This window comes from Homo sapiens, chromosome 15 (genome assembly GCF_000001405.40).
Source record: "Homo sapiens chromosome 15, GRCh38.p14 Primary Assembly".
Lineage (NCBI taxonomy): Eukaryota > Metazoa > Chordata > Mammalia > Primates > Hominidae > Homo > Homo sapiens.
The window spans coordinates 29,752,779-29,780,391 of NC_000015.10; the positions used below are offsets into that span (position 1 = coordinate 29,752,779).

The 27,613-nt window shown below is 38.2% G+C and overlaps 1 protein-coding gene across 30 annotated transcripts in view, besides 1 other annotated feature; it reads right to left on the reverse strand.

Annotated features, from left to right (window-relative positions):
• TJP1 (tight junction protein 1) overlaps nt 1-27,613 on the reverse strand; it is a 269,683-nt gene that overhangs the window by 53,412 nt on the left and 188,658 nt on the right. For all 30 annotated transcript variants that reach the window (XM_005254620.4, XM_047432984.1, XM_005254619.4 and 27 more), the window contains 6 exons: nt 20,455-20,579; nt 19,286-19,388; nt 13,488-13,764; nt 9,557-9,660; nt 8,823-8,991; nt 8,361-8,508 (listed from right to left, as the gene is read on the reverse strand). In XM_005254620.4, the coding sequence (XP_005254677.2) occupies nt 8,361-8,508; nt 8,823-8,991; nt 9,557-9,660; nt 13,488-13,764; nt 19,286-19,388; nt 20,455-20,579 (926 nt within the window). The remainder of the gene's footprint in view (nt 1-8,360; nt 8,509-8,822; nt 8,992-9,556; nt 9,661-13,487; nt 13,765-19,285; nt 19,389-20,454; nt 20,580-27,613) is intronic.
• Nucleotides 7,692-8,891: an enhancer, noted in NCBI's record as "CDK7 strongly-dependent group 2 enhancer chr15:30052673-30053872 (GRCh37/hg19 assembly coordinates)". NCBI's record gives its function as "activates an origin of replication core promoter dependent on BRD2, BRD4, P300/CBP, MED14 and CDK7 cofactors, with strong dependence on CDK7, by STARR-seq in HCT116 cells {active_cell/tissue: HCT116}" and the evidence as "EXISTENCE:reporter gene assay evidence [ECO:0000049][PMID:35650434]".

Below are 27,613 nucleotides of genomic sequence, written 5' to 3' on the forward strand. Positions count from 1 at the left end.
AAAAACTTTCATGTTCTAACCAAATTTTTTAAAACAGAAAAAATTCACTTCTTGGATCTCCAAATCACTTTCTCCCTTGCTCTTATGATGTAGCCACATGGGCTATATTGCTGCCCTTCCAGTAGGTCGAGTTTCCATCTCAGGAGCAGTACACGCTTTGCCTTATTCCAGAATGACCTTCACCTGCCAGGGTCTTTCTTACCCAGTTCAAAATGATGTGACCTCAGAGAAGCTTTCTTCCCTGAGCCTGTTATTTAATATTGTCCCCTCCTGCTTCACTATTACACTACCCTGATTCTCTTTATAGCATTTAACCACTAACGAAAATTTACTTTTTGTATTTTCAAATTTATGTATTTGCTTTGGATATAGAGCTTACATCCAAATGATAGCAGGGATCTTGCCTAAGATTGCTCAGGATATGGCCAGGCGCAGTGGCTCACGCCTGTAATCCCAGCACTTTGGGAGGCTGAGGCAGGCAGATCACGAGGTCAGGAGATCGAGACCATCCTGGCTAACACAGTGAAACCCCGTCTCTACTAAAAAACACAAAAAATTAGCCAGGCGTGGTGGCGGGTGCCTGTAGTCCCAGCTACTCAGGAGGCTGAGGCAGGAGAATAGCGTGAACCTGGGAGGCGGAGCTCGCAGTGAGCCGAGATCGTGCCACTGCACTCCAGCCTGGGAGACAGAGCAAGACTCTGTGTCAAAAAAAAAAAAAAAAAAAAAAAAAAGATTGCTCAGGATATTTATCGCCATACACTGATAACATATATGTGACATTAGTAAGTATTTGGCAAAGGACGAATGAGCAGGATAACATCCACATTACTGGTAAAATCTTTCAACCTTCACTACAGAAGGAACATTCACTGTGGTGCCGCCTGTTGATCACTCAGAACTATGCACATTGGTCACGGTGTAAGGTACAGGAGCCATGGGAAAGAAGTCACTGATTCGACTCGCTGATTAACCATTGAAATACTTAATGAATCATATCTTTCTAACTGGCACCCTTTCTATCTTTCTCAGATGAAAGGGAAACAGAAAAAAAAAAAAAAAACAAAGGTAAAGGACCTCATGGTGAGCCTAAAAAAGAACACGTAGTACTACCAACACCATGTTCACTACCAACAATATATGTAATTCTTGTTTAGAATAAAGCACTTATCAAATTGGAGTTATGAAATTTATTTAGACAAAAGACTAACACCAATGATCAGTAAATAAAATCTGAAACTCACCAATCAGGGTATATACCCAAGGAATATAAATCATTCTACCATAAAGACATATGCAAACAAATGTTCACTGCAGCACTATTCACAATAGCAAAGACATGGAGTCAACCTATATGCCCACCAATGACAGAGTGGATAAAGAAAATGTGGTACATATACACCATGGAATACTATGCAGCCATAAAAAAGAACATGTCTTTTGCCAGAACATGAGTGGAGCTGGAGGCCATTACCCTTAGCAAACGAATGCAGGAACAGAAAACCAAACACTGCATGTTCTCACTTGTAAGTGGGAGCTAAATGGTAAGAACTTACGAACACAAAGAAAACAACAGGCACTGGGGTCTACTTGAGGGGGGAGGGTAGGAGGAGGGAGAACAAGAGAAAACTATTGGATACTGGGTTTAACATCTGGGTGATGAAATAGTACGTACAAAACACGATGACACATGTTTACCTACGTAACAAACCTGCATATGTACCCCTAAACCTAAAAGTCAAAAAAATTAAAAAGAAATTCACTAGTCAGAAGATCGTTACCTCTCCACATTTGAAATAGAAAAAAAAATGCTCATCAATATTAGGATGTTTCAACAATAATTTTTAGCCTATTGGCAAAGTTGCACAGGTTAAGCATCCCTTGCCTAAAATGCTTGGGACCAGAACTGTTTTGGATTTCGGATTTTGGAATATGTGCATCATACTGGTTACCCATTGAGCAGCCCTAATCTGAAAATGCAAAGTCTGAAATGCATTTCCCTTGAGCGTCATGTTGGCACTCAAGTTTTGGATTTTGGAGCATTTTGGATTTTGCACTTTCAGATTACCTACGCTCAACCTGTATGTAAGTTTCAGAGAAAATTAAGCAATATGTGACAGAAACTATATACAGTAAGATGAAATAATATTTATAGTTCTCAAATGCTGACGAAAACAATTATGGAAGGTAGAGGAAAAGGTGTGTAAATAAAAAACTAGATCTTTAATTTAAAAGCTAAGACCACATAAGGATATTTTAATCAACAATGGACCCCACAGACAATAGTGGTCCCTGAAGATTAAAATACTGTAGTTGTACTGTCCTTTCCTACGTTTAAGATACACAAATGCTAACTGCTGTTTCAACTGCCTACAGTATTTGGTACAGTAACCTGCTGTACAGGTTTGTAGCCTAGGAGCAATAGGCTACACCATATAGCCTGGGTGTGTGGCAGGCTCTACCACCTAGGTTTGTGTAAGTACACTCTATGATGTTCACACAAGGATGCATTTCTCAGAAGGTATCCCCATCAAGTGACACGTGACTGCACATTATATGCTCTACCTGCATGTTTATTTGGACTTACTCAGCACTCTTGGAAAACTCCTAATATGGAGTGGATTGTATAGATAAGAGGTTTTGATCCCAAATATATGATCTTAACTTGGCCAAACGTGAATTTAGGCTAAAAATTTCTGATTCAGAAAATTCAATTTTACTGTCATGTATTTGCTGTATCATAAGCTGTATCAATGCTGACACACCTTTTACTTTAGAATTCAGTAGAGGCATTTCTCAGGAGGAACAATGAATGAAGAGATTAAATAACTGTTACAAAGTTTCAATCTTCTGAAAACACTGCTTTTAAGTTTCTCAGAACTAACCATTTTCGTAAAATGGATTTGCTAAATATAAACTGGACTGTTTTTCTATTTGTGAAAACACATTCCCCAAACACTTTAGAAAACAGTTTAGGCCTTAGATGAACTCTGTTGGTTTCAGGGAATGAGTGTAACAAATGTAAATGGGTAGAATGCCAAATGTAAATCTTGACAATCCAAATTTCCCACATTTCAATTTCATCCTGTTAGTCTGAACTTTTACTGTAATAGAATTTTTTCAATATTGTACCTGCTTATGACTAATCATGCTCACTTTTATAAAAATTTATAGAATAAAAAAGGTAAACACCTGTTGTTCCCTCTAACATACAATGTTAGAGGGAAACATAAAATGGGTCTGTTAAAATAGCTGTAAATATGAGGAAGAATACAATCTAACCAAGCAGAGGCCTAGATCATACCCTGCAAATCAAATACTCTCTACTTATGCAGGGACTACAGGAAGATCAGTGAAATCTCTTTTCAATGATACCCACTCAGTAATCACCAAGAAGCAAAGTGTCACCATCAACTGTGGGCTCTCTCAGTATTCCCAGCTCCTACAGCCCAAGTCTTGGCCCAGACTGGGCTCTGCAACAATACTAAGTGAAATACAAAACAAAGCAAACAAGCCCAGCAACAAGCATCAAGTTATAAGAAAACCACTGTAATTATTTTCCCTATGTATATGTATTTTTTGAATTTAAAAACAAAACTATTTTAACATTCCAGACAAAGCATTTGGAAACTTTTTCTGTAATTGACTCCCTTGGCCATATAGTCTCTCTTATAACTTCTTGATTATGCCATTGTGGAATGGGTTTCCAATAAAACTTTACAAAAGGAGGAGGCTGGATTTAGCCCACACAGTGCAGTCTGCCAACTCCAGTTCTAGACAACAGTGAGGATACTTTGTTCATCTAATTATAATGAAGAACAAGCTTGTGTGTTTTTCTCAGAATTCTCTCCATATGTTTGCTCTCTAAGAAAAGAATATCACACAGAGGAACATAAGTAGGTCATGACAACAATGGAACGCTGGTAGATTTTAGTTTCCTGAAGATTAAGTAGTAATTAAGCTATGAAATTTCTTTCTCTACACCAGTAAGGTCAAAGATTTGGGTCAAAGAGCCAACAGTTTTAATCCTGGCCCCAATCCCAGGTCAACAACATAACCCTGGACTTTATTGCAACCTCTCAATTTTAGTTTGCTTAACTATATAGAATGAGGAAATCTCAGAAAATGGTTAAATACAAGCAGATAAGAAAGCACATTTGGAAATTCTAACTTATGATACTATTATTACTACTATGAATCACCATAATAATTACAGTAGCGAACACATGTGCCAGGTATTGTAATAACTAATTTCTCACCATTCTGTAACGTATGACCTGCCTGCTTCACTGCATATGGGGATGCTGAAACACAGAGGTTTCAAGGTTATGCAAGTAACCAAAGGCAGGCTGGGACATGAACCCAGGAAGTCCGGCTCCAAAGCCCTAAGAATTCACTATATTCTATCACTTCTCACAAAATGAAGATGAAGAGGTTATTATTCTCAGCAGATAATCGCACATCCTAAAAATATACAAAAGTATTCAGAAATCTAGGAAGAGAACAGGGCAGGGCTGATGTTTGCCAAGACAGACTTCCTTTTACACTCAAGTGAAACCTTTCTCACAGAGACCAGGTCATTTTTTTATCACTTCTTTAAAGATAATTTACATACAATTTGTAAAACAAAAAGACACTTATACAGCCAAAATTAAATAAAAAAAACAAAAGACTATATATGGAAGTCCTTTAGTGTTTTTTTACACTAGCATTTTACTCTTATAATGTATCTAAGTTGTTTCTCAAAATGCAGGGAATGCTCTAAATTAAAACTCCACAGTTACAGGATTTGAAGATTCAACTTTGGGGTGGAAATGAAACCTTTAAGCAACTGGTACTATTTATATCTTGTCTGTAGGCAGATTACTAAATTTTCAGGAATTAAATTCTCACCACAAAAAATATGAAAAGAACCTGAAGAGATTTTTCCTTCTGTAGTTGAAGTTACCTTTTCTTTTATACACTATACTTTCTAACCATTAGTTCCCACATCTAGCAGTGCACATAAGAGAAAGATGCCAGGAGCTTAAAAACAAAAAAATACAGTTGACCCTTGAAGAGCATGAGATTTAACTGTGTGGGTCCACTTACACTCGAATTTTCTTCCACCTCTGCCACCCATGATACAGAAAGACCAACCTCTCCTATTCCTCAGACGACTAAATGTGAAAACAAGGATGAAGGAAATGAGCAGTGAAGGAAAACGAGGATGAAGACCTTTATGATGATCCACTTTCACCTAATGAACAGTAAATGTATTTTCTCTTATGATTTTCTTATTAACACTTTCTTTTCTTTAGCTTACTTTAAGAATACTGAATATAATACATCTAACCTACAAACTTTGTACTGTTTATGTTATCAGTAAGCTTCCACTCAACAGTAGGCTATTAATAGTTAAGTTTTTGGGAAGTTAAAAATCACAGGTGGATTTTTGACTGTGTGTCGGGGGTGAGAGGGAGGTTTTGGTCCCCCCTAAACCCCAGGTTGTTCGAGGGTCAAATGTATTGCCTGCTTCCGTCTCAGATCAGCTGAAAGCAAGCCCCAGAAGTTTGTATTTTTAAAAGCTCCCATATTACTGGTGCTACCCATGAAAATACTTAAGATACCTAGGAGAAAAAAAAATCACAATATAACACAAAAATAGTAATTTTAGGGGGGAAAAACCCTCCACTTTTAAGTTAAGGTTACAGATTCTAAGTGCTGAGGAACTCTAAATGAAGAAAGTGGACATCAAAAAGAATTTTCTAAGATTGAAAATTTTTTACAATCTAAACTAATGGCCCAACATTTGAGATTTTGATTCAGATTGCGTTATTTAAAAGGGGAAATCATGTCCAAATTACTTAAGCATGGTTTCTAGCTGAGAAATAGATGTTAAAATTACAGCTGCTCCCGTGAATCATCAAAGGTGCTATATCACTGTGTGTGTGTATGTGTTGCGGCAGTAATCCTTTTCCTGATAACAATCTATGCTGTGCCAGGAAGATTTTTAGAATATATTAACTGCAGCAATTAAAAATCATCATCAGTTATAAGATAAGCCAACTTTACACGTAACATGCCATAATATTCCTTTAAAAAATCATTACATCCTTAAAATAAACACCAGGGTTCTCATAATTTATAAATCTAGGTTTGAAATTTAGAAATAATCAGCTTCACAAATACATAAAAACTACAGTAGATACGAATTAGCAACCACATTCATAGCTCTTACAAGTTATCCTCTTCTCTTACTAGTTCCCATTTTAGTAGAATGCGAAACACTTTACAGTTTTAACTACCACTGTCACTGCGGTTTTTTACAAACTTTAAAAAAGCTCTCTCCTGGCTAGGTACGCCTCCCTTTTCTTACTTCTCCCTCGCCTCTTCACCTTCCTAAAAGAACGTGCTCCCTGTTATCCAGTTCTCTGCCTTCTTTCCAAACTGTTTCTCTTAGCAATTTTAGTGACTTCTATGGCTTCAGCTAACACCTCTATGCAAGTTAAGTCTCAATTCAACATCTCTAATCCTAAATCATCTCTTCAGATCTAGACCCAAATTTACTTTTTCTTTCCAGCTTTACTGAGGTCCAATTGACAAATAAACATTGTATCTATTAAAGGTGTACAACAGTGATGTTTTGATATACATATTCAAATGATGACCGAGACCAAGTTAATTAACATATCCATACCTCATAGTTACTTTTCTTAGTGTGTGTCAAAAGAATGCCTTAAGATCTACTCTCTTAGCAAATTTCAAGTATACGTTATTAACTCTTGTCACTACACTGTAAATTAGGTCTCCAGAACTTACTCATCTTATAATTGAAACTGTGTACCCTTTAACAAACATCTCCCCATTCCTCCCCACCCCTAACCCCTGGTAACCACCATTCTACTGTCTGTTTCTATGAGTTCAACTTGCTTAGGTTCCACAGTAAGTGAGGTCATGCAGTGTTTGTCTTTCTGTGTCTGGTTTATTTCACTTAGCACAATGCCCTCCAGGTTCATCCATGTTGTTCCAAATGGCAGGATTTCCTTCTTTTTAAAGGCTAAATCACATTTCATTGTGTGTGTGAACATTTTCTTTATCCATTCATGTGTTCGACATTCAGGTTGACTCCATACCTTGGCTATTGTGAATAATGCTGCAACAAACATGAGAGTGCAGATATCTCTTCGAGACAGTGATTTCATTTCCTTTGGATATGTACCCAGAAGTGGAATTGCTGGATCATGTGCTAGTTCGTTCTGGTTTTAATTTTTTGAGGAACCTCCATACTGTTTTCCAGAATGGCCGTATCAATTACATTCTCATCAACAACGTATAAGGGTTCCCTTTTCTTCTAAACTGTCTCTTCAGCCCTGGACTCATGTTTCAAGTGATCTTCATGTGGACTGCAGTTAACCATGGGTCAGGTGGTGGCCTATAGAGCCTTGGGAGTCTCCAGAAATTGTATGCAATTGCTGCGTGTATGTGCACATGCACATTTTTCTGGAGAGAAGGATCATAATTTTCTTCAGATTCTCAAATGTACGTGTGACTCTAAAGAAAGATAAACTCAGGTAGGTCATATACTACCAGTATACCAGAACCTTTGGCATAAATACTAGTGTTTTGTTTTGTTTTTGAGAAAGAGTTCCGCTCTGTCACCAAGGCTGGAGTGCAGTGGTGCGATCTCGGCTCACTGCAACCTCCGCTTCCCAGGTTCAAGCAATTCTCATGTCTCAGCCTCCCGAGTAGCTGGGATTACAAGCATGTGCCAACACTACCTGGCTAATTTTTGTATTTTTAGTAGAGACAGAGTTTCACCATGTCGGCCAGGCTGGTCTTGATCTCCTGGCCTCAAGTGATCCGCCTGCCTCGGCCTCCCAAAGTGCTGGGATTACAGGTGTGAGCCACCGCGCCCGGCCAACACTAGTGTATTTTTAAAAGAGAAAACAAAGTCCAGGTTAATGTGTTTATTAAAGGACTTCTGTAGTTAACTTTCCCAAGCAGTAGATTTCTGAAGCTTGCTAGCATCTTCTAATGCAATAGTATGACAAACTGCAGCTGCGGATCAACCGCTTTTGTAAATAAAGTTTTATGGGAACATAGTCATGCCCATTCATTTACACATTGTCTATGGTTGCTTTTGCAGTTGAGCAGTGAAAAGAACTATATGGCCTGCATGATTGAAATATGTTTACTATCTGGCCCTTTAAGGGAAAGTTTGCGGTTATTTTAGATTTAAAAAATGTCTAAGTTGAGAAAAACAGATCTAATCTTGAATAATCAAAAGAAATACATCTTTTAATTTTATTTGTAAGCAATTTCAGATACTGGTATCAAGCAAACAAAACCCCTGTATTTTTTAAAAAAATAGGGTGTCTTACCTGCCATTGCTTGGCTGCTGCGGCGAGTGCCTGGAATGATCAGAAGGCTCTGACCGCTGGTCAGGAGATCGTGACCGGCTGCGGCGGGGAGGCCTATCGTGTGATCGACCAGAATGATCTGATGCCAGTGACTGAATTTCTGAAATGTCTGTTAATAAAAGGGTGCTACTTATTTTCCCACAAAAATAATTACAGTCAAGTATAAGGTACTCCAGTAATAATGAAGATAAGCTAGTAAGTAAAATTATATATAAAATGGAAGATTTATGCATTAATTTCACCTGCCAGCAATCATATCAATAGTGGTGAGTTGTCTACAGGAAAAAATGTATATAAAACTTATAGATTTTGAAGGTGTTTGGCTGGTAGAAAATTATCATTTCATTCAAAGATGTTCAATCTCCCTAGTATTTTAAGAAAATAGGTCACTTAGAGGGAACGTTCAAACAGAATCACACTCACCGTCTCTCTCAGAGGCATTAGCAGAGTGGATGCTGTCAGAAAGATCAGGGACATTCAATAGCGTAGCCCGTTCATCTCTTTGAACTACCATTTTTAATTTGCCTTTAGACCTTTCTATCAATGTCTTTGCATCTGTCAATGACATATTTTCTGTCACAGTACCATTTATCTGCAACAGAAAATAAATTACAGCTTGAAAGTAAATAATAAAATACAAATGTTAACTTAGTTTGTTATAAACAGAAATATCCAAACCACTCCTTGCTATGAAAACCAAAATATTCTCTCTACACTTTTCCAAACTGTCAAAGTATTCCACCTTCTTGAGATGATAAAATCTTTACTGTACTGTTGCTGTCAGAAAAACCCATAGTAGCATCCCCTAACTCCTTCTTTGAGGCTGTCACTTTCTATTACTTATAAACAAACGAATAAATAAGCATTTCAATAGTATCTGGAAGCAATTATCAGAACTTTTTAATGTGTAAGAACAGACATATCTATCTACAAAGTAGTACCGGCCTGTGAATAATTATCTCAGGATGACCCTGTGATACCTAAAGCATTGGTGTCGACATGTAATAATGCATAAAGGGAATTTATATCCCTCTCCCCCAAACACTGATTTTTAATTCTCTTTGGCAAAACTGCTTCAAACAAGAGCACAGACTACATGGTAACTCTAGAACTTGTTTTCTATTTCAGTTCATTAAAAAGTAAGAATATGATTATACCTTCAATACAACATCACCTTCTTGAATATTGCCATCTCTTGCTGCCAAACTATCTTGTGAAATTTCCTTAACAAATATATGGCTTGCCAATCGAAGACCATATTCTGAAATAATGTAAGTAAGTGTTTTTAGTATAACATCCTAAGACACCTAAATAGATTTTACAAGTATACAACTAAACTAATTAACTACTGCATAGAGTTTTCAAGTACAATCAATAACAAGAAATATTTCTTGGCCATCCTGCAAATAAGACATTCCCTCTAATTAGCAAGTCTGCAATGTCTCCGTGAAAGCCAAGGGAAAGTGTATGGTTCAAACGAAGGACTGATAGACCGTGTTCCCATATTACTGAAAAGGAGAAAATCCCCAAGAGGACACCATTTCTTTTTGACCAAGCATTGATACACTAGCTCTTCAGAATGATTAAGGAATACAATTTTCTTTAAGAGACAGGGTCTCACTATGTTGCCCAGGCTGGACTTGAATTCCTGGGGCCAAAAAACCCTCCTGCCTCAGGCTCCAGAGTAGCTGGGACTAACAGACATGTGTCACACTATGCCTGGCTAGAGATATAATTCTAAAGAGTAAACTGCTTGAGGTTTGAAAAACTTTGAAAAGATTGACCATTTTATTGATGACTATTATCATGCATATACTACTTCTATTTTTCCCAGCTCCTAGACCAAAAATATTTCTGATCCTATACACCCCATGACACTGGATAGACATACTCAGAGTACTAGCATGTACTAAGCATGAGTGCAAAGGCTTACAACCAGCCAGGCAGATGTGGGCAGGAGTTATAATGCCAATCCTTTCCTTTAAACAACCAACAAAGTATCCAAGAGTGAGAACATCACTCCGTCTGTGGGTAAGGAATGTTGGAAGTTGAGGAAATTACTAGCAGAGTCCAGAGAACTGCCCAGGTTCCTGCAACAGCTGCAGAAAAACATATTTTAAGAAAAATAAGAACAATGACTACAACTATCAATATAATGTCAATAGTAAAAGGATTGCCCCTGGTTCTGTGAGGAGAGTCTTACTGCATTAAAAACAAAATCAAAAACCAAGATGGAAAACAGAAAACTGTTTTAACATGGGATAAATTAACAGACCTATTACCTAAGTGTTTAAAAATTACATAAGAGTAGGCTGGGCATGGTGGCTCATGCCTGTAATTCCAGCACTTTGGGAGGCCAAGGCGGGCGGACCACAAGGTCAGGAGTTCGAGACCAGCCTGGCTAGCATGGTAAAACCGTCTCTATTAAAAATACAAAAAATTAGCTGGGCATGGTGGTGCACACCTATAATCCCAGCTACTTGGGAGGCTGAGGGAGGAGAACTGCTTGAACCTGGGAGGCAGAGGTTGCAGTGAACTGAGATTGTGCCACTGCACTCCAAGCCTGAGAGAGAGAGTGAGACTCCGTCTCAAAAAAAAAAAAAAAAATTACATCAGAATTACAGTTTAACTTAAGACAAATATACAAAGAGTACTCACAGCCAGAAATAGAATCAGGGTGAAGAAAACGGCCTTTTAGGATATCTGGGCAAGGAATGAGGCAGTCATCCATATGGTCATTACATCACAGAAGGATAGGGTATTGGTTAAAAGACTGTTCTTCAAGATTAAACACTTATAAATGACCATTACACAGATGACCCCAAAATATTTCTTGTATATTAGTTTGTTCGTTCATTCTAAATATTTCTTGGGGTATATATGAACTAGGTACCAGGCATTAGGGAGAAAGCAGCAAATGAGATAGTTCCTGCACTCTGGCAATTTGCAGTCAGTGAAAAAAAGGATGTTAGCATGGTAATCCCAAATGCGGTGAGTTCAGAGGGCAGAAACACAAGGGTTCTTCACTTACTAGGGGGAAGGAGAAGGCCGCCCTGAGGAAGATATACTAAAGTTAAAACTTTACCTAAGAAAGACCTAAACCTGAAGGGTATGTTTGTGGGGGAGGGGATGCATGGGGTGAGTGACGGCTGAAAAGTTCAAAACAAATGCATCAAAGTAATGAAGAAAAAAACCTGGTGGACCTAATGAAGTCATAAGTCTAGTGTAGCTGAGACTGAGAACTAATAAAGAAAGGGGCAAAAGAGTAAGACAGAAGTGTCACAGAGGATCTATGAAGAAATCTGCAGAATCAACTTAAAGGGATCCAAGAGACAACCTATGAGACCAAATGAGTCTATGTAAGAGATGACAGTGGCTTGGAAAAGGGTGGAGGCAGTGGAGAAAGAGTGGGATGGATAAGAGTGGTATTCAGGAGTGAGGACATTCATCATGCATGGGAAAAAAAGAGAAGGCAAGGGTAACTACCATGTCATCTGGGAATGGCCTGAGAAACTGGATCAATAGAAACACATTCAACTGAATACTTCATGAGAAATACAAAGAAAAATTTTAAGAGGGAGATGAGTTTCATTTGAGATGTGCTGTGTTTCAGGGACCTACAGGAACATCTAAGTGAATATGCCTAACAGTTGGAACACAAGAGTGTAAAGATTTGGGCTGGAGAAAGAGGTTCTGCCATCATCAGCAGTGACTGGAAGCAGGGGAGCAGATGAGATTGCCTAAATTAATTGTTATTCAACCTGAGGAAAAGAAAAAAAAAGTTACCTTAAGTGGAAAAAAAGATTCTAGGAGAGAAACTGACAGAACGTTATAAAGGGCAGGGTGAGGAGAATGAGCTTGCAAAAGATACAGAAAGGTGGGGGAAAAAAACAGAAAGATACAGTACTACCAAAGAAGACATTATTTTTGAAAATAAGGAGTGGTTAACCATGTGAAATGATACTGAAAAGGCAAGCAAGCTAGAGACTGAAAAACTTCCACTAGATTTAGTGTGAACATTTTTGGGGGCAGAGCGGAAAAGATACCAGACCAGAGAGGATTGAGGGGTAAGTAGTGAAGTAAAAACAGCAAATGTTGACAACTTCACTGAGACTTCACTGAATGGGGGTATGGAATACCACCTAGGAGATATGCCAAGTGGTAAAGCAGATCAAAGTAAGTCTTGATAATATTCCAACTGTAACACCCTTTATATCAAAATGATCAGTCATGCATGCCCACAGAAGGAGCAAGCCACAGTCAGATCCATTTTTTATCAAATTTAATGAGGCATGAGGGAAAGCAGCTGAGTTTCAGTTTCAAAAACTTCAAAGAAGTACTGCATTATGGAGAAATGCTCTATAAGGGGTTCCTTTCCTTAAATTCCTCCATTTAAAAAAAACAGTCTGGAGTGAGGGGGAAGAAGTCCCAGCAGGGCACAGTGGCTTCCCGCCTATAATCCCAGCACTGTGGGAGGCCGAGGCAGGTGAATTGCCTGAGCTTACCAATTTGAGAACAGCTTGGGCAACACGGCAAAAACCCTGTCTCTACCCAAAATAAAAAAATTAGCTGGACATGGTGGCATGTACTTGTACTTCCAGCTACCAGGGAGGCTGAAGTGGGAGGACTGCTTGAGCCTGGGAAGCAGAGGTTGCAGGGAGCTGAGATTGTGCCACTGCACTCCAGCCTGGGTGACAGAGCCAGACCTTGTAACAACAACAAAAACAACAACAACAACAACACTCCCAAGATTTCTCTCCATGATTACACTACTAACAGTTAAGAAAAACACTGAATTTCCATTTGGTGATGGTGTGACATTTCTTGTTAGCATAATTTGTACCTGGCTATTCTCATCACAACAAATCCAAAAGCCAAGCCCTGGACAATTCACTTGAAGTGTTATCTGTTCCAACGGAAAAAATGAACAGTCCCTGAAGCCTGCCATAACAGGATTTGACTTACAGTGATAGAACACAAACACAAAGACAACAAAGCAAAGACATGAAGAGACAGCAACTGTACTTCTCATTAAAATTAGTTTTAAATTTTCATGTGAAAAAAACAGCAAGAGTTGGCAGAGAATACCTTCATTTTTCCGGGATTTCACCAGTGTGACTTTAGTAGGTTTAGCAGGCTGGCTGGAAGCCACTGACCGCCTGTCTGACCGCGGGGACAAGCTCCTCTCTCTACTTGCACTTCTATCCCTCGGCCAAATCTTCTCACTCCTTCTGTTAACCACACCACTCCGGCCACTTCTTGGATCATGTATTTCCTCATCATAACTATCTTCTTCATTATCAGATACTGGTTCAGGATCAGGACGACTTACTGGTATTTGAACTTTCTTCTTCCTTCTAATTGTCTGCAAGTTAAAAAGGTTAAAAAATAAGTTGACTGATTTTCATATATGTACGTTCAGTTCCAAAGAGAAAGGAATATTACACTTCTCATCCCATATTAACTATGAACCAGCAAGAAACAATACACAAACAACTACAACAAATTTCTAAGGAATACATTTCCATAAAGGCTGTGTTTTCTGTTCTCCTGATAAACAGATCTGGTTAAGCACAAATAAGAACGAGTGGGCCTAAAAACCTCTTTATTTACTTCACACAGAAAGATCTTCCTGGTGTAATAATCACAAGCTTACAGGGAAACTAACAACTGTTGGTGGTTTGAATAAAAAGGACAGCACTGTACTCTAATGCCATCAAATATACTCTAGGTGCTACCAAAACCACAGCAAACTTCCATGCCCAACTTGCTTCCTTAAAAATTTTAGAATGCATCAATATCAAAGCCCACAATTGCCCCAGACCTCTAAGAGATAATTTATTCTATAGCCGCACTAACATTCAATAATATGTTGGAGCTAATTAACTCAGCCGTACTTCACCAACACAAACTGCTTTCAGTCTCTGGATCTCTTCAATTTGTACTCCCAGTCTAGGTGCAAATTCTTCCCTCTGGCGTTCTTTTCTCAATGATTCTGGTAACTGGCTCTGTATTGCCTGTCCACTTATTTCCTTCATTCTCTGCAAGCTGACGATCTACATGTATTACACCTGCTGACTGAATGGCCCTGTAATCTGTGGACTACACTTTGCCTTCTCACAATAGTATACACTTGACCTCACTGTAGTTCTACAGGATCTCCTTGTGTATCACTCCTTGTCTTCTATGTCGGACACCTTGAGCTACTGAAACTTTTCACTATCTTATTTCCAATTCCTTCATCTTAGTTCATCAGTTCCATCCTGGTTTCACTCGCATTCCCCCTAAGTTTGCATGAGACATCCTGTTGCCATATTTAAATGACTTTTTCTTGACCCCTCAATCATCTGCCCTGACAAACTCCAGTCCTATTATTACCTTCACTTCCACACTTTGCTGATGAGGCCCTCTGTAAATTCATTTTACAGAAGTCTTGCTCTTGTTCAGCAATCCTTTCATCTACATATTGTTGCCTCTCTGTGGAATTCGCTAATGTAGGTATTCTACAACCATTCTTCAAGATCCCAGCCACTCAGCCTGCTTTAAGATCAGTGCCATTTTACTCCCCCTCCCCTCCTAAATTTTTTCAGTATTTCCCCTCCTAAATTTTTTCAGTGTCTCATTTATTTGGTCCTCTTTCCTTCTGGTCTCAAAGACCAAGGCAATCTTCTCCCTGGATGAACAAAACCCTTGTATTTGAGCTCTCATTCTCATCCCTACCTACCTCTAAGACTTTTTTCTTCATCAATTACCATACTCCAGGTTACCTGAAACTTCAATCTCTTTATTTACCTAAAATCTGTCCTCTACCTACTAAGCTCCCCCAATTAATCTTCTATTTCTCTGTCTTGCTATTCACCTGCATGTTATCATCTTTTCTCTCTTCTCTATGTGCCTAAACTTCTTCAAAGGGCTGCTCTACACTTAATACTACTGCTTCCTATGACTACTACTATTATTATCAGATACTGGTTCAGGATCAGGATGAGGGCCTGAGCAGAGGGCCATTCTGAGGAAACAACGCTGAAGCTCAAGGATGAGAAACAGCAGAGGCCAGCATGTGAAAAGGAGGACAGCCAATGCCCTGTTATGAACTGAAAGAGAAAGGCTGCCCTTCTCCTATTGGAGCAACCCACAGCTGAAGTCCTTATAGGGTAATATTTTCTGTAAAGCATTCCTAATGCTAGCTGCCTGCTTTTACATCTCACTTCTATTTAATTTCCAACATATTATATTGGAAGCAATACCTGGTATTAGTATTTTAATCTTCAGTTCCTCCCTAGTAATAAACAAAAACAAAGTTGAGCAGATGAGCACTCAAGGCTTTCCCTATCATTCCTGTAAGAGTGCGCCACCTCTTTGGGATCCTACTGTACCTGACCTATCAACCTGAGATGACGTGCATTATATGGTTATCAGTATGTATACCTATCCAGCCCACTAAGATTTGAGTTTTTTGAGAAGTTCCTTACCATGCATTTAACTGTACATATAATGCAATGCTTGCATCTAGTAGGTGCTTAACTTATTGAAAGGTAACCAGTCCTATTGTGATTCTCTACTTATGAATCAACAGTTATAAACATGAATAATAATTAGTAGGTGTGACAACTATGCTCGATTTTAACACTATGAAAAATTTGGAATCAAAATATTTAGGAAAAAAAATGCCTACTTCAAAATAGTTTAGCTTAACTAAGTCTCAAAGGTAAAATAAAACAAAATGATGCCATGTAAGTACTAGAAAAAAATACAACAGAGAGGCTTTTGCAATTAAAAGGCTTTTGGAAGCATGACACCAAGGCAGAACCAATAAAATGAAAGTCTGACAGACATGACAAAATAAAAATGAAAACATTTCAATGTTGTAATAAAATGATACAAAACAACAAACACAAACAACTTACAAGCATTCACAAAAGCAAAGAGGATAACAACACATGAGGTATGTATGACAAAAGGCTAATAATCTGACTACAGAAAACACTCTAGTATGACCATCACCACCATATAAATGCAAAGGACATGAACAGGTAAATGAAAAAACAAATGGGTAGTAAATACACCATGAGAGGATCAAATCCACTTGTGATTTAAAATGTTTCATTTGAAACACTTGTTTAGTTTATCAGTTTGGCAAAGATTTAAGACCTGTTGAAAACTGAACTCTCAATAGCCTATTGATTTTCTGAAGGACAAACTGGCAATACATACATCAAAAGTCATTCAGGCCCTTTGACTCTGAAAAGTCACTCCTAGAAAATTATTCTAAACATTAACTAAACAAGTAGGTAGTAATATGATGATTTTTGCAGCTGAATTTTAAAAAAATACTTGCGGACTGGACACTGAAATGCCTGTGAATGAGTGGGTTGGATAAATATATATGCATAGTGAAATGCTGCATGGCCATGTGGATACCTACACAGTCATGCACCATGTAAAACAACGGACAGCACGTACTGCAGGGGCCCCATAATATCACAATGGAGCTGAAAATCTCCTATCACCTAGGGACGCCACAGGGTCATAATGTCGTGGGTGCACTGCAGTACTTATGTTGGTGGTGATGCTGGTGTAAACAAAGCTACTATGCTGCCAGTGGAATAGAAGTGTAGCAGATACAATATGTACAGAATATAATACTTGATAATGACTATGTTACTGGTTTATGTATTTACTATGCTAAACTTTTTATCATTACTGCAGAGTGTACTCCCTCTACTTATTTTTTTTTCTACATGTTAACTGAGAAAACAGCCTCAGGTAGGTCCTTCAGGAGGTGTTCCACAAGAAGGCATTATTGTCACAGGAGATGATGGCTCCATGCGTGTTACTGCCCCTGAAGACCTCCCACTAGGACAAACTGTGGAGGTGGAAGACAGTGACACTGATGACCCTGATCCTGGGTAGCCCTAGGCTAATGTGTGTGCTTGTGTCTTAGTTTTTACTAAAAAAGTTTAAAAAGTGAAAAATAAAAAATTTTAGGCTAGGTGCAGTGCCTCCTACCTGTAATCCCAGAACTTTGGGAGGCGGAGGCAGGCAGATCACTTGAGGCCCGGAGTTCAATACCAGCCTGGCTAACATGGCAAAACCCCATCTCTACTAAAAATACAAAATACGGGCTTGGTAGCGGTCGCCTGTAATCCCAAGGCTGAAGCACGAGAATCACCTGGACCAGGGAGGCGGAGGTTGCGGTGAGCCAAGATCACGCTACTGCACTCTAGCCTGGGTGACAGAGCGAAACCGTGTCTTAAAAAAACACAGCCTGTAATCCAAGCACTTTGGGAGGCCGAGGCGGGGCGGATCACGAGACAGCCTCCATCAGGAGATCGACACCATCCTGGCTAACATGGTGAAACCCTGTCTCCACTAAAAATACAAAAAAATTAGCTCTGGTGGCGGGTGCCTGTAGTCCCAGCTACTCGGGACGCTGAGCTTGCAGTGAGCCAAGATCGCGCCACTGCACTCCAGCCTGGGTGACAGAGTGAGACTCTGTCTCAAAAAAAAAAAAGAAAAAAACCAAAAAGAACCCAAAAAATTTTAAATATTTTTGTACAGCTGTACAACGTGTTTGTTATTACGAGAGTCAAAAAGTTAGAAAGTTTATAGGTTAAAAAAGTTTCAGTAAGCTAAGGTTTATTATTGAAGAAAGAAGACTTAAATAAATTTTATAAATTTATAAAATATTAAATACATTAAAAATATTAAAACGTTAAAAATTTAGTGCAGCCTAAATGTACAGTGTTTACAAAGTCTACAGTAGTGTACAGTAATGTCCTAAGATGTCACATTCACTCACCACTCACTCGCTGACTCACTCAGAGCAACTTCCAGTCCTGCAAGCTCCATTCATAGTAAGTGCACTAAACAGGCATATAATTTTTTTATCCACTATATATTTTTACTGTACTTTTTCCATGTTTAGACATACACATACTTACCATTGTTTTACAGCTGCCTACAGTATCCAGAACAGTAACATAATATATCTATTATGAGAAGTGAATTATCAGGCAATTCTGTCTTTGTGTGAACATCACAGAACGTTATCTTCCCAAACCCAGATGGTATAGCCTACTACACATCTAGGCTACTTGGCATAGCCTATTGCTCCTCGGTTACAAGCCTGTACAGCATGTTAGTGAACTGAATACTGTAAGCGACTGTAACACAATGGTAACTATGTGTGTATCTAAACACGGTAAAGGTAAATACAGTACTATAATCTTATGGAACCACTGTCAGATATGTGGTCTGTTGTTGACCAAAACATTGTCATGTAGCATGTGACTGTAGAGGAGGAAAAGAGGAGGAAACATTAAGCCAAAAAGAGGTAACTATTTGGCCGGGCGTGGTGGCTCATGCTTGTAATCCCAGCACTTTGGGAGGCCGAGGCAGGCAGATCACGAGGTCAGGAGATCGAGACCATCCTGGCTAACACGGTGAAACCCTGTCTCTACTAAAAATACAAATAATTAGCCGGGCGTGGTGTCAAGCGCCTGTAGTCCCAGCTACTCAGGAGGCTGAGGCAGGAGAATGGTGTGAACCTAGGAGGCGGAGTTTGCAGTGAGCCGAGACCGTACCACTGCACTCCAGCTTGGGCGACAGAGCGAGACTCCGTCTCAAAAAAAAAAAAAAAAGGTAACTATTTAACTGTCCCCTTTCCTTTTTCAATTGAAAAAAATCCTGGTATCTAAACTGAGAAAATACACGTACCAGTGACATACCACACCAGTGTTAGAAGAAACACTCAAGTGTAAACAAATAACTTTGGAACTATTGTTTCAGTTTTCCTTAAATGGGAAGGATAAATTCAAATACCAGAAATGTATCAACAATAAAGTTGGGGTACCTTTACTAAATTACAGAGAAAAGATACTTACAATTTTTGCATTTTTCCCACTTTTCCTTAGTTGCTGAACAGCAAAAGCATGTTCAACATTATCCATTGAAACTCCGTTAACCATTGCAACTCGGTCATTTTCCCTAAGGGGAAAAGGGCACAAAATAATATGTTAGAGAAAAACATTCTGGTAAGTTTATGATGATATTTCCAAGATAGGTACTTCTAAAATGTAATCTAATTATGAGCCAATTAATTAATTTCTCTTCAGATCAATGATAAAATAATGTCAACTGACTTACTTTCAGATTTCTCTGCAGAATGTTTAACAAGTAACTAACCACAGGTCCTTAATTTTTTTAAGTCATTAACAAAGTATTTCCCCAAAAGACTGAACAGATATCACATACACGAAATGATTCTTGGTAGTACAGTTACAGGGCATTAAATGATACTAAGTCATACAGCTGGAAAACTTACTCCCTTTTAAGTTTTTCATCTTTTAATTCTCTTTTAATTCTTCTAATTATAGTGCCACTATTTTGCTAGTGTATTTTGTGTTTCTCTTTATCTTACTAATCTTCATAGGGAATAAAAAGGGTGGCAAGACTTGGGGAGGAGGCTTCTGAAGGCTAGATTCTACCCAAAAGGAGTTATACATTTTCTTTTTCACTATTTTTACAGTTACACATTCTATTTAAAGTGAGTGATACTAGCTTTCCAATTTTCATAGGGATAAAGCTTCCTTTATTTTCTTTGGAGACAGGGTCTCGCTCTGTCACTTGGGCTGGAGTACAGTGGTGCAATCATGGCTCATTGCAGCCTCAGATTCTTAAGTTCAAGGGATTCTCCTGCCTCAGCCTCCCAAGTAGCTGGGACTGCAGGCACAAGCCACCATGCCCAGCTGATTTTTAAACTTCTTTTGTAGAGATGGGGATCTCACTGCATTGCCCAGGCTGGTCTCAAACTCCTGGTCTCAAGTGATCCCCCTGCCTCAGCCTCCCAAAGTGCTAGGATTACAGGAGTGAGCCACCACACCTAGCCAGTTTCCCTCTTAATATATGTTAATTTAAGGAAAAATATATGAAGCATGGCACAGGTGGAGTGTGAATATGACAAAATCACTAAGACAGTGTAAGACAGTACGCCAGTGCCTGAGGAGAGGAACACTGCTTGTTGCACAGTGCCCACGATAAGCAGCACTCTTACTGTAGCTGTCCTTCAGCTGGTCCTCCTTTCAGCACATCTGAAATCACTATTGACGTTTCCCCACTCTGAAAATGAGGATTATCTCGTCCACCAGATATTGCAATTCCAAATCCAAATCCAGGAGCCTAAAGTAAAAATTACAGTAAAATATTGCTATTAAGGACAAAAATAATTGTTATATCATACTCTACAATCTAGAGAAGCCAAAATATAAAAATTACAATCTTAATATATCTGTGATCCATAAACACTCACCTGCATGGTTACCTATTAGAATTATCCTTGTACAAGAATGCATGCTCTAATAACTACTGGACATAACAGAATATTAAAAATCGCCAACTATATACATGTTCTTTAAAAACCAAAAGACAATTAAAAATTATTAACACTGAGATCCTGACTTTATTTTTGATCAGAAGAGGTCCTGAGGAGACTGGCAGAGCCCAGTGTGATCATCAGCCATCCTGGCAACTGATTTAGAAGATGACAGACTTATCCAGCATACACACCCTTTGTCATTTTACATAAATATCAATTGCTTTGAAAATCAAGTATTAGTTATTTCAACTTCTTTCAACAACTTCTGCCAACTCCTAAAAATCTCTGTAGAATATAATGCCTTGTGCACACTATACAATAGAAGGTGTACATTAGCCATATTGAACTAACATTGTAAAATTACCTTTTTAAAAAACTAAATTATAATAAGCTACACACTTCTGAAAGAGCCAAGAATCTTTACCACAATGACTCAGGACAGGCCGGTATAGAAAAAATTCAAAATATTTTCCAGGTTGTTAAAAAATTACCTAATCTCAAAGAAATCACTATTCCCTAGAAAGGATATGAAGTACTTAAGAGTAGTTTAAAGAGACAATATACATTTTCTTAAGGCTACAGAATCATTAAGCCAGAAATGTATGTTTTTGTATAAAACTGTACAATTCAAACTGCCTGAGGACAAAGGTAACAACTTCCTCCCTCAGCTTTCCAGTCCGCAACAGAGGAGACTATTTTCACCATGAATAGTGCATACATCACCTTTCCTCCCATCCCAAAGCCTATAGAAGTAGCAAAAGAAAAAAAAAAATCTTCTTAAAAATGAATAAATACCAACTATTCCAAGTGTCCATCAACTGATGAATGGATAAAACGTGATATATATCCATACAATGAAACATTGTGTGTAAAAAGGAATGAAGTACTCATACATAGTATAACATGAATCAACCTTGAAAACATCATGCTAAGGTGAAGAAACCAGTCACAAAGGTTAATAGATTCTATTATTCCGTTTATATAAAATGCTCAGAAAGGCAAATCTATAAAGACAAAAACCTGAATGGTGGTTGTCTAGGGCTACAGGGATTGGAGGGGGTGATAATTCAATGGGAGGTGTTTTTTTTTTCCCCAGTAATGAAAATGTTTTAAAATGGACTCTGGTGATGGTCACACAACTCGGAACACGCTAAAAACCAATGAACTGCATACTTTAATTGTTTGGCATGTGAATTATATGGCAATAAAGCGAACACAAAAAAGTTAATATGAAAAAAGAAAATAATAAAACAGGGAAATTTCTGAGTAACTGAAGATAATGGCAACCATCTGAATCTGTTTCTCTATATATTCTCCCAAAATTTAATAGAACAAAAATAGACCAACTACAGTGGTTCTCCCTTATCCTCGGTTTCATGTTCTTTGCTTTCAGTTACTTCAGGTCAACTGCAGTGTGAAAATTTTAAACGGAAAACTTCAGAAATAAACAATTGGTAAGACTTAAATTGCACACCGTTATGAGCAGTGTGATGAAATATTTTGCCATCCTGCTACGTCCCATCTAAGATGTGAATCATCCCTTTGTCCAGTGTCTCCACGCCATAGGGGCTCCCCACCCATTAGTTACTCAGTAGCTGTCAGTTATGAGATCAACTGTGGAGAGGTAACACAATGCTTGTGTTCAAGTCACCCTTATTTTACTTAATCATGACCCCAAAGTACAGTAGTAGTGATGCTGGCAATTCGGTATACCAAAGAAAATCTGTAGTGTTTCCTTCAAGAGAGAAGGCGAAAGTCCTCCATTTAATACAGAAAAAAAAAAAAAAATATGCTGAGGTTACTAAGATCTACAGGGAGAAGGAATCTTCTATTAGTGAAATTGTGAAGGAAAACAAAATTTGTGCTGGTTTTGCTGTCACACCTAAAATTGCAAGGGTTTCGCCACAGTGCATGGTAAGTGCTTATTTAAGATGGAAAAGGCATTAAACTTGTGAGTGGAAGACAGGCACAGAAATGTGCTCCAATTAACAGCAAAACTGGGTTTGATACTATCCAAGAATTCAGGCATCCACTGGGGGAACATACACCCCATGGCTCAGAGGGGACTACTGTACACAAAACCATACACTCATCATAATTCAAAGACAATATCCAAATTTCAAATTAAAAGCAGGACTAAAACTTCAAAAATAAACAATTAGAGACAAATGACTATTAGAACAGCATTAGAAAACATAAGACACTACAGAACAAATTCAAATAAATTTGAAAACCTAAAGGAAACATAATTCCTGAGGAAATATAGATGGCCAAAATTGACCCTATTATAAATAAAAGGCTTAAACGGCCCAATTTCTGGAGAAAAAAGCAGCAAAATTTATGAGGGAATTATCCCACAAAAAGGCACCAGGCGCAAATGATTTCCCAGAGAAATTGTGCCAAAACATGCAATATCCAGACAGCCTCAGTACAATATATTGTTTCAGAACACTGATATCAAGGAAAGCTTCTAAATTCTTTTTATGAAGCAAGTATAATACTGACACTGAAAGCTGATGACTGTCCATGATAATGACTAACCCCCCAATATTACAGCTCAACATAATTTATTTGTATCAGTGCAAAATACAAAATAAAAATAAGCAAACAAAGGCCAACACTACATAAATACTCCATGAAAAAGGGATTAATTCCAGGAATGCAGGATTAGTAGGAAATCCACTGGCATAATATATCCTATTAATAAATCTAGAGAAAAAAATTATATGATTATCTCCAAGATCCTGAAAAAGCCTTTGACAAAATTTGACTTTCACCGCTGAAGAGAAAACAAAGTTTGTGAAAAGGCACTGTAACAAACCCTGTAAGTATGTTGCTTTTTGTTAAAGTACACAAAGAAAATCCAGCTTTTCATACACAGATACAGTCATTGAAAAAGAAGAGTTATTTTAGTAGCCTTTTTAGGTAATTACGAAAATTCATGTTTGACTTTATGCCAAAAACTTAATAAATGATAGTTTCCTAAAGGAGAGTAACAATGTACAGTTTGAAACCATATCATTCAACTGTCTGTACTGTTGCATGAATTATCTATTGGCCTATTTTACACTCTGAATGAGTATTTTATCCATGTATAATTTTACTATAGCATGCCTTAGTCTTTCGGAAAATACTGGTTCCCTGAGTTAGGTAAATCTTCCAAATGATGCCACATTTCACCACACAGTGTATTTTAAAATCATGTGTTAATATCACTATCAAGGTTATCAAAAGAGTCTTTAAGTACTGAAAAGCTACTGAGCTTATGGTGGCAGATAAAAATTTCTCAAATTTTAAATTTTGTTTTAAAAATCAGTTTTCATTGTTAGCAACAAATACTATCAAGAATTGTTCTCCTTGAAGCAAGGTACTCATTCATTTTGGAGAAATATGTTTGTCAAATATTCAAGTTTGGATAACCATACATTCCTTCAAGTAAACAATTGTTCAAGTAAAAGTGATGCCTGCCTTCCACCCCCCCCACTCAATACACGGCTGCAATTCAAATAATCACACAAGTACTTTAGTACAAGGCAGAAGTACTTTAGGCACACTTCCTGTTTGCATACCTAGACTACTGAAAACGTGTGTATTCAAGGGTTGGAAAGTAACAAGACACAGTTCTTACTGTTTCAAGTCATTCTTAAATAAAACTGAAATTGTTCTTTTAATCTACGAGTGTGTGACAATGACTATTATACGGTTTGGTGCCCCTGCCTTGATTTGGGCTACAAAGCCCACAGTTTTAACCGCCATTGTTTCTGAACCTTCAGTCAAATAATTACACAGCGAAGAAGATAAGAAATACCTTCATATTGAATAAAAAGAGTTTTGCCCTTGAACCTAAAAAGGTTTCAGGGACCTTTAGGAGTCCACAGACCATACTTTGAAAATGTCGATATTAAGAACTACTTAAACATGAAGGGAGAAAAATAAATAAATAAATAAAACAATGAAACAATTTACAAAAGATATATGAGATGTTAAAACCCACAGATAAATGCAAATTAAAACCAAAGAACACCAAGAACAGAAACATTAAAGTATAACATATTTCAGAAAAGGGAGGCTATAGCAAACAGTCTACTACTGATGGGCACACAAATTGCTACAACTTTCAGGAGAGGAATTTGGCAGTAACCTAACAAAACTACAAATGTACTATTCTTTTGACAGAGCAAACTAACTTCTAGAAAGTACCCTAAAGATACACATACCTCTCTCACAATACAAAAGTAACAAACGCACAAGGTTATTCATTGCAGACTGTTTGTAATTGCAAAATGCTGGGAAAACACCTAAACACCCCAGCCTTAGTAAACGATTATCCTTTCCCTTTTTTTCTCCTTCAAAGAAGTTGGGGCTAATCTTTGTAATTTAGTAATTTGAAAAATTACTCTATGTAATTTTACAGTATGAACTTACATCTTGTTTGGTAGTTATTTTATTTTCCTCTTTTATTTAAAAGTTAAAAACATAAAAAGATTAAAAAAAACCAAAAACATTAGGAACTTTCAATAAGCAAGGCAGGGATGCGAGCATACATTTAAAAAAATTACTTGTGAGCAAGTAAATGCAGTTCCGGCACCTAGTAGGGCAGGTAATCCTGCTACATCAGTGCTTACCACAGTTCACTTAATGACTATCCAGGAGCCCTGCGACTTCTTACCCAGGCTGCAGGTAAGAATCACTTGGGAACAATTTCAAAACTGCTTGCTGATGCATGATCCTCAATCTATACCAATTAAGTAAAAATGGAGAAGAGGAGTTGGTGGACTTAAAAAAAAAAAAATAGCCCCCAGGTGATTCTAATGAGCAGCCAGGAACGAGAGCTGCAGCTTTCAATGTTTTCTGAATATAAGATCAGTTCATTAAAAATTTCAAAAGGTTCAACTTTTCCCCACTTTCCCTTCCCTCTACCTTCATAATTGTCTTATTTGGCCCTTTCAACAGATTTCTCACCTCCACTGCACTACAAGTGTTGGCAGTGCTGTCCCTCTAACACAAAGACCCTAATCCAATAGATCCTTGCCCCAAGTCCAAATTCCTTAGCATGCAGTGCCTTTGAATACAACTCCAAACTTGCTTCCCAGCACCCCAGTCTTTGCTCTAAACCCACCTAAATACTGATTCCTGCTTAGGGAGATCATGCAATATCAAACTATGGCTTAACATCTCCTCTCTCCCTAGGATTTCCTTACTACCTTATCAATCTTGCAAGCTTCAGCTCATCTTTCAAAACCCAGGTTCCATGTCACCTCATTCATAAAACTACCCTTGGCTTTCACAGAAGTGGTCCATCCTGTACATGTGCTGGGGCACATGTACACACTTGTGCTACTTAACACACAGCACAAGTAGCCTCGGTTAGCAAGGCCCTATTTGGGAGGAAGTCACATATTTAAAATCGAAGGCTAACCTGATTAAGCCCGCCAAACTTAACCTGTCTTTTTCATCGCTTACTTCTAGTTGATCTATTTTAAACTCCCCACTAGCAAGTCACATAGCAAATCTCCCACGAACTTCCTTACAGATAACTTCCGAATGTGGGTCACTACAGTAACGGTTGCTTAAAGTTATTTCCAGGAACCAGTTGGCAGCTCTTGTCCACTTCAAGCTGATTAAGACCACCGAACCTTCAACTGGGCCTGCATGAATGCCCAAAGAGAGGTGACTGTTTGATGTCAGAGGGCCAAAACCTCCTTCCTCAGATCATGGTGATACTGCCATTTTTCAAACATGCATTCTATGAAGAGCTGTGTAACTTGACTACATGTATGCAGATCCTAACTAACTCACTTTTCCTTACCCCCAATCTTTCTCCCCCACACCTTGGAGAACCTTGGTACTCTATTCCAAAAACATCCTTAAAATCCCATCTTTGGAGAGGTGGGTTTGAGATTTGTTCTCCCATCTCCTCATTTGGCAGTCTTGTGAGTAAAATCTTTTCTCTTTGCCAAAACAAGTCATCGCAGTGACTGGCTTGCTAGTTCAATATATTCGTATACATCTTTCAACTCAATGCAACCCTGCAGAAGCCTGACACAAAGTGGTTCACGAAGTTAGTGAACCTCAACAAGTATTTGATTGATTATTCAATTTAACTTTAATTCTATTTCCCTTTATAGAGACTCTTTTTTTAAACTAGCCCTAATTAGAGCACTAAAAACAGAATTCTGGAAAAATTAGCAGCAATGAGAGTAGGCATGAATGAATCTTCCTGAATAAAAACAGGCAGTCGACTACATAACAAACCAAGAATCCAAGTGCAACATTTACAACAAAACTAGGGGGTCAATGTATCCCCCTTGAAGTGCAAAATGCAACGAGGAGGGGATAAACAACCAGCTATGGAGACTTCCTTAGCATGTGAACGAAGCCATATTCTAAAACAAACAAACAAACAAACAAACAAAATCCTCCCCGCCACCTCCCGAAGGAAAAAAAAAAAAACCACCACAAATTACAGGCAAAAATGAGAAAAAACGATCAGAATCAAACCCTCTATACCAGCAGTCCTCAACCTCTTTGGCACCAGGGATTGGTTTCTTTGAAGACAATTTTTCCACAGACCGGCAGGTGGAGGGGATGGTTTCGGGACAATCCAAGTACATTACATTTATTGTGTACTTTATTTCTATTATGATTACACTGTAATATATGATGAAATAATCACAAAACTCACCATATTGTAGAATCAGTGGGAGCCCTGAGCTAGTTTTCCTGCAACTAGATGGTCCCATCTGGGGGTGATGGGAGACAGTGACAGATCATCAGGCATTAGATTCTCATAAGGAGTGTGCAACCTAGATCCCTTGCATGCATGGCTCACAACAGG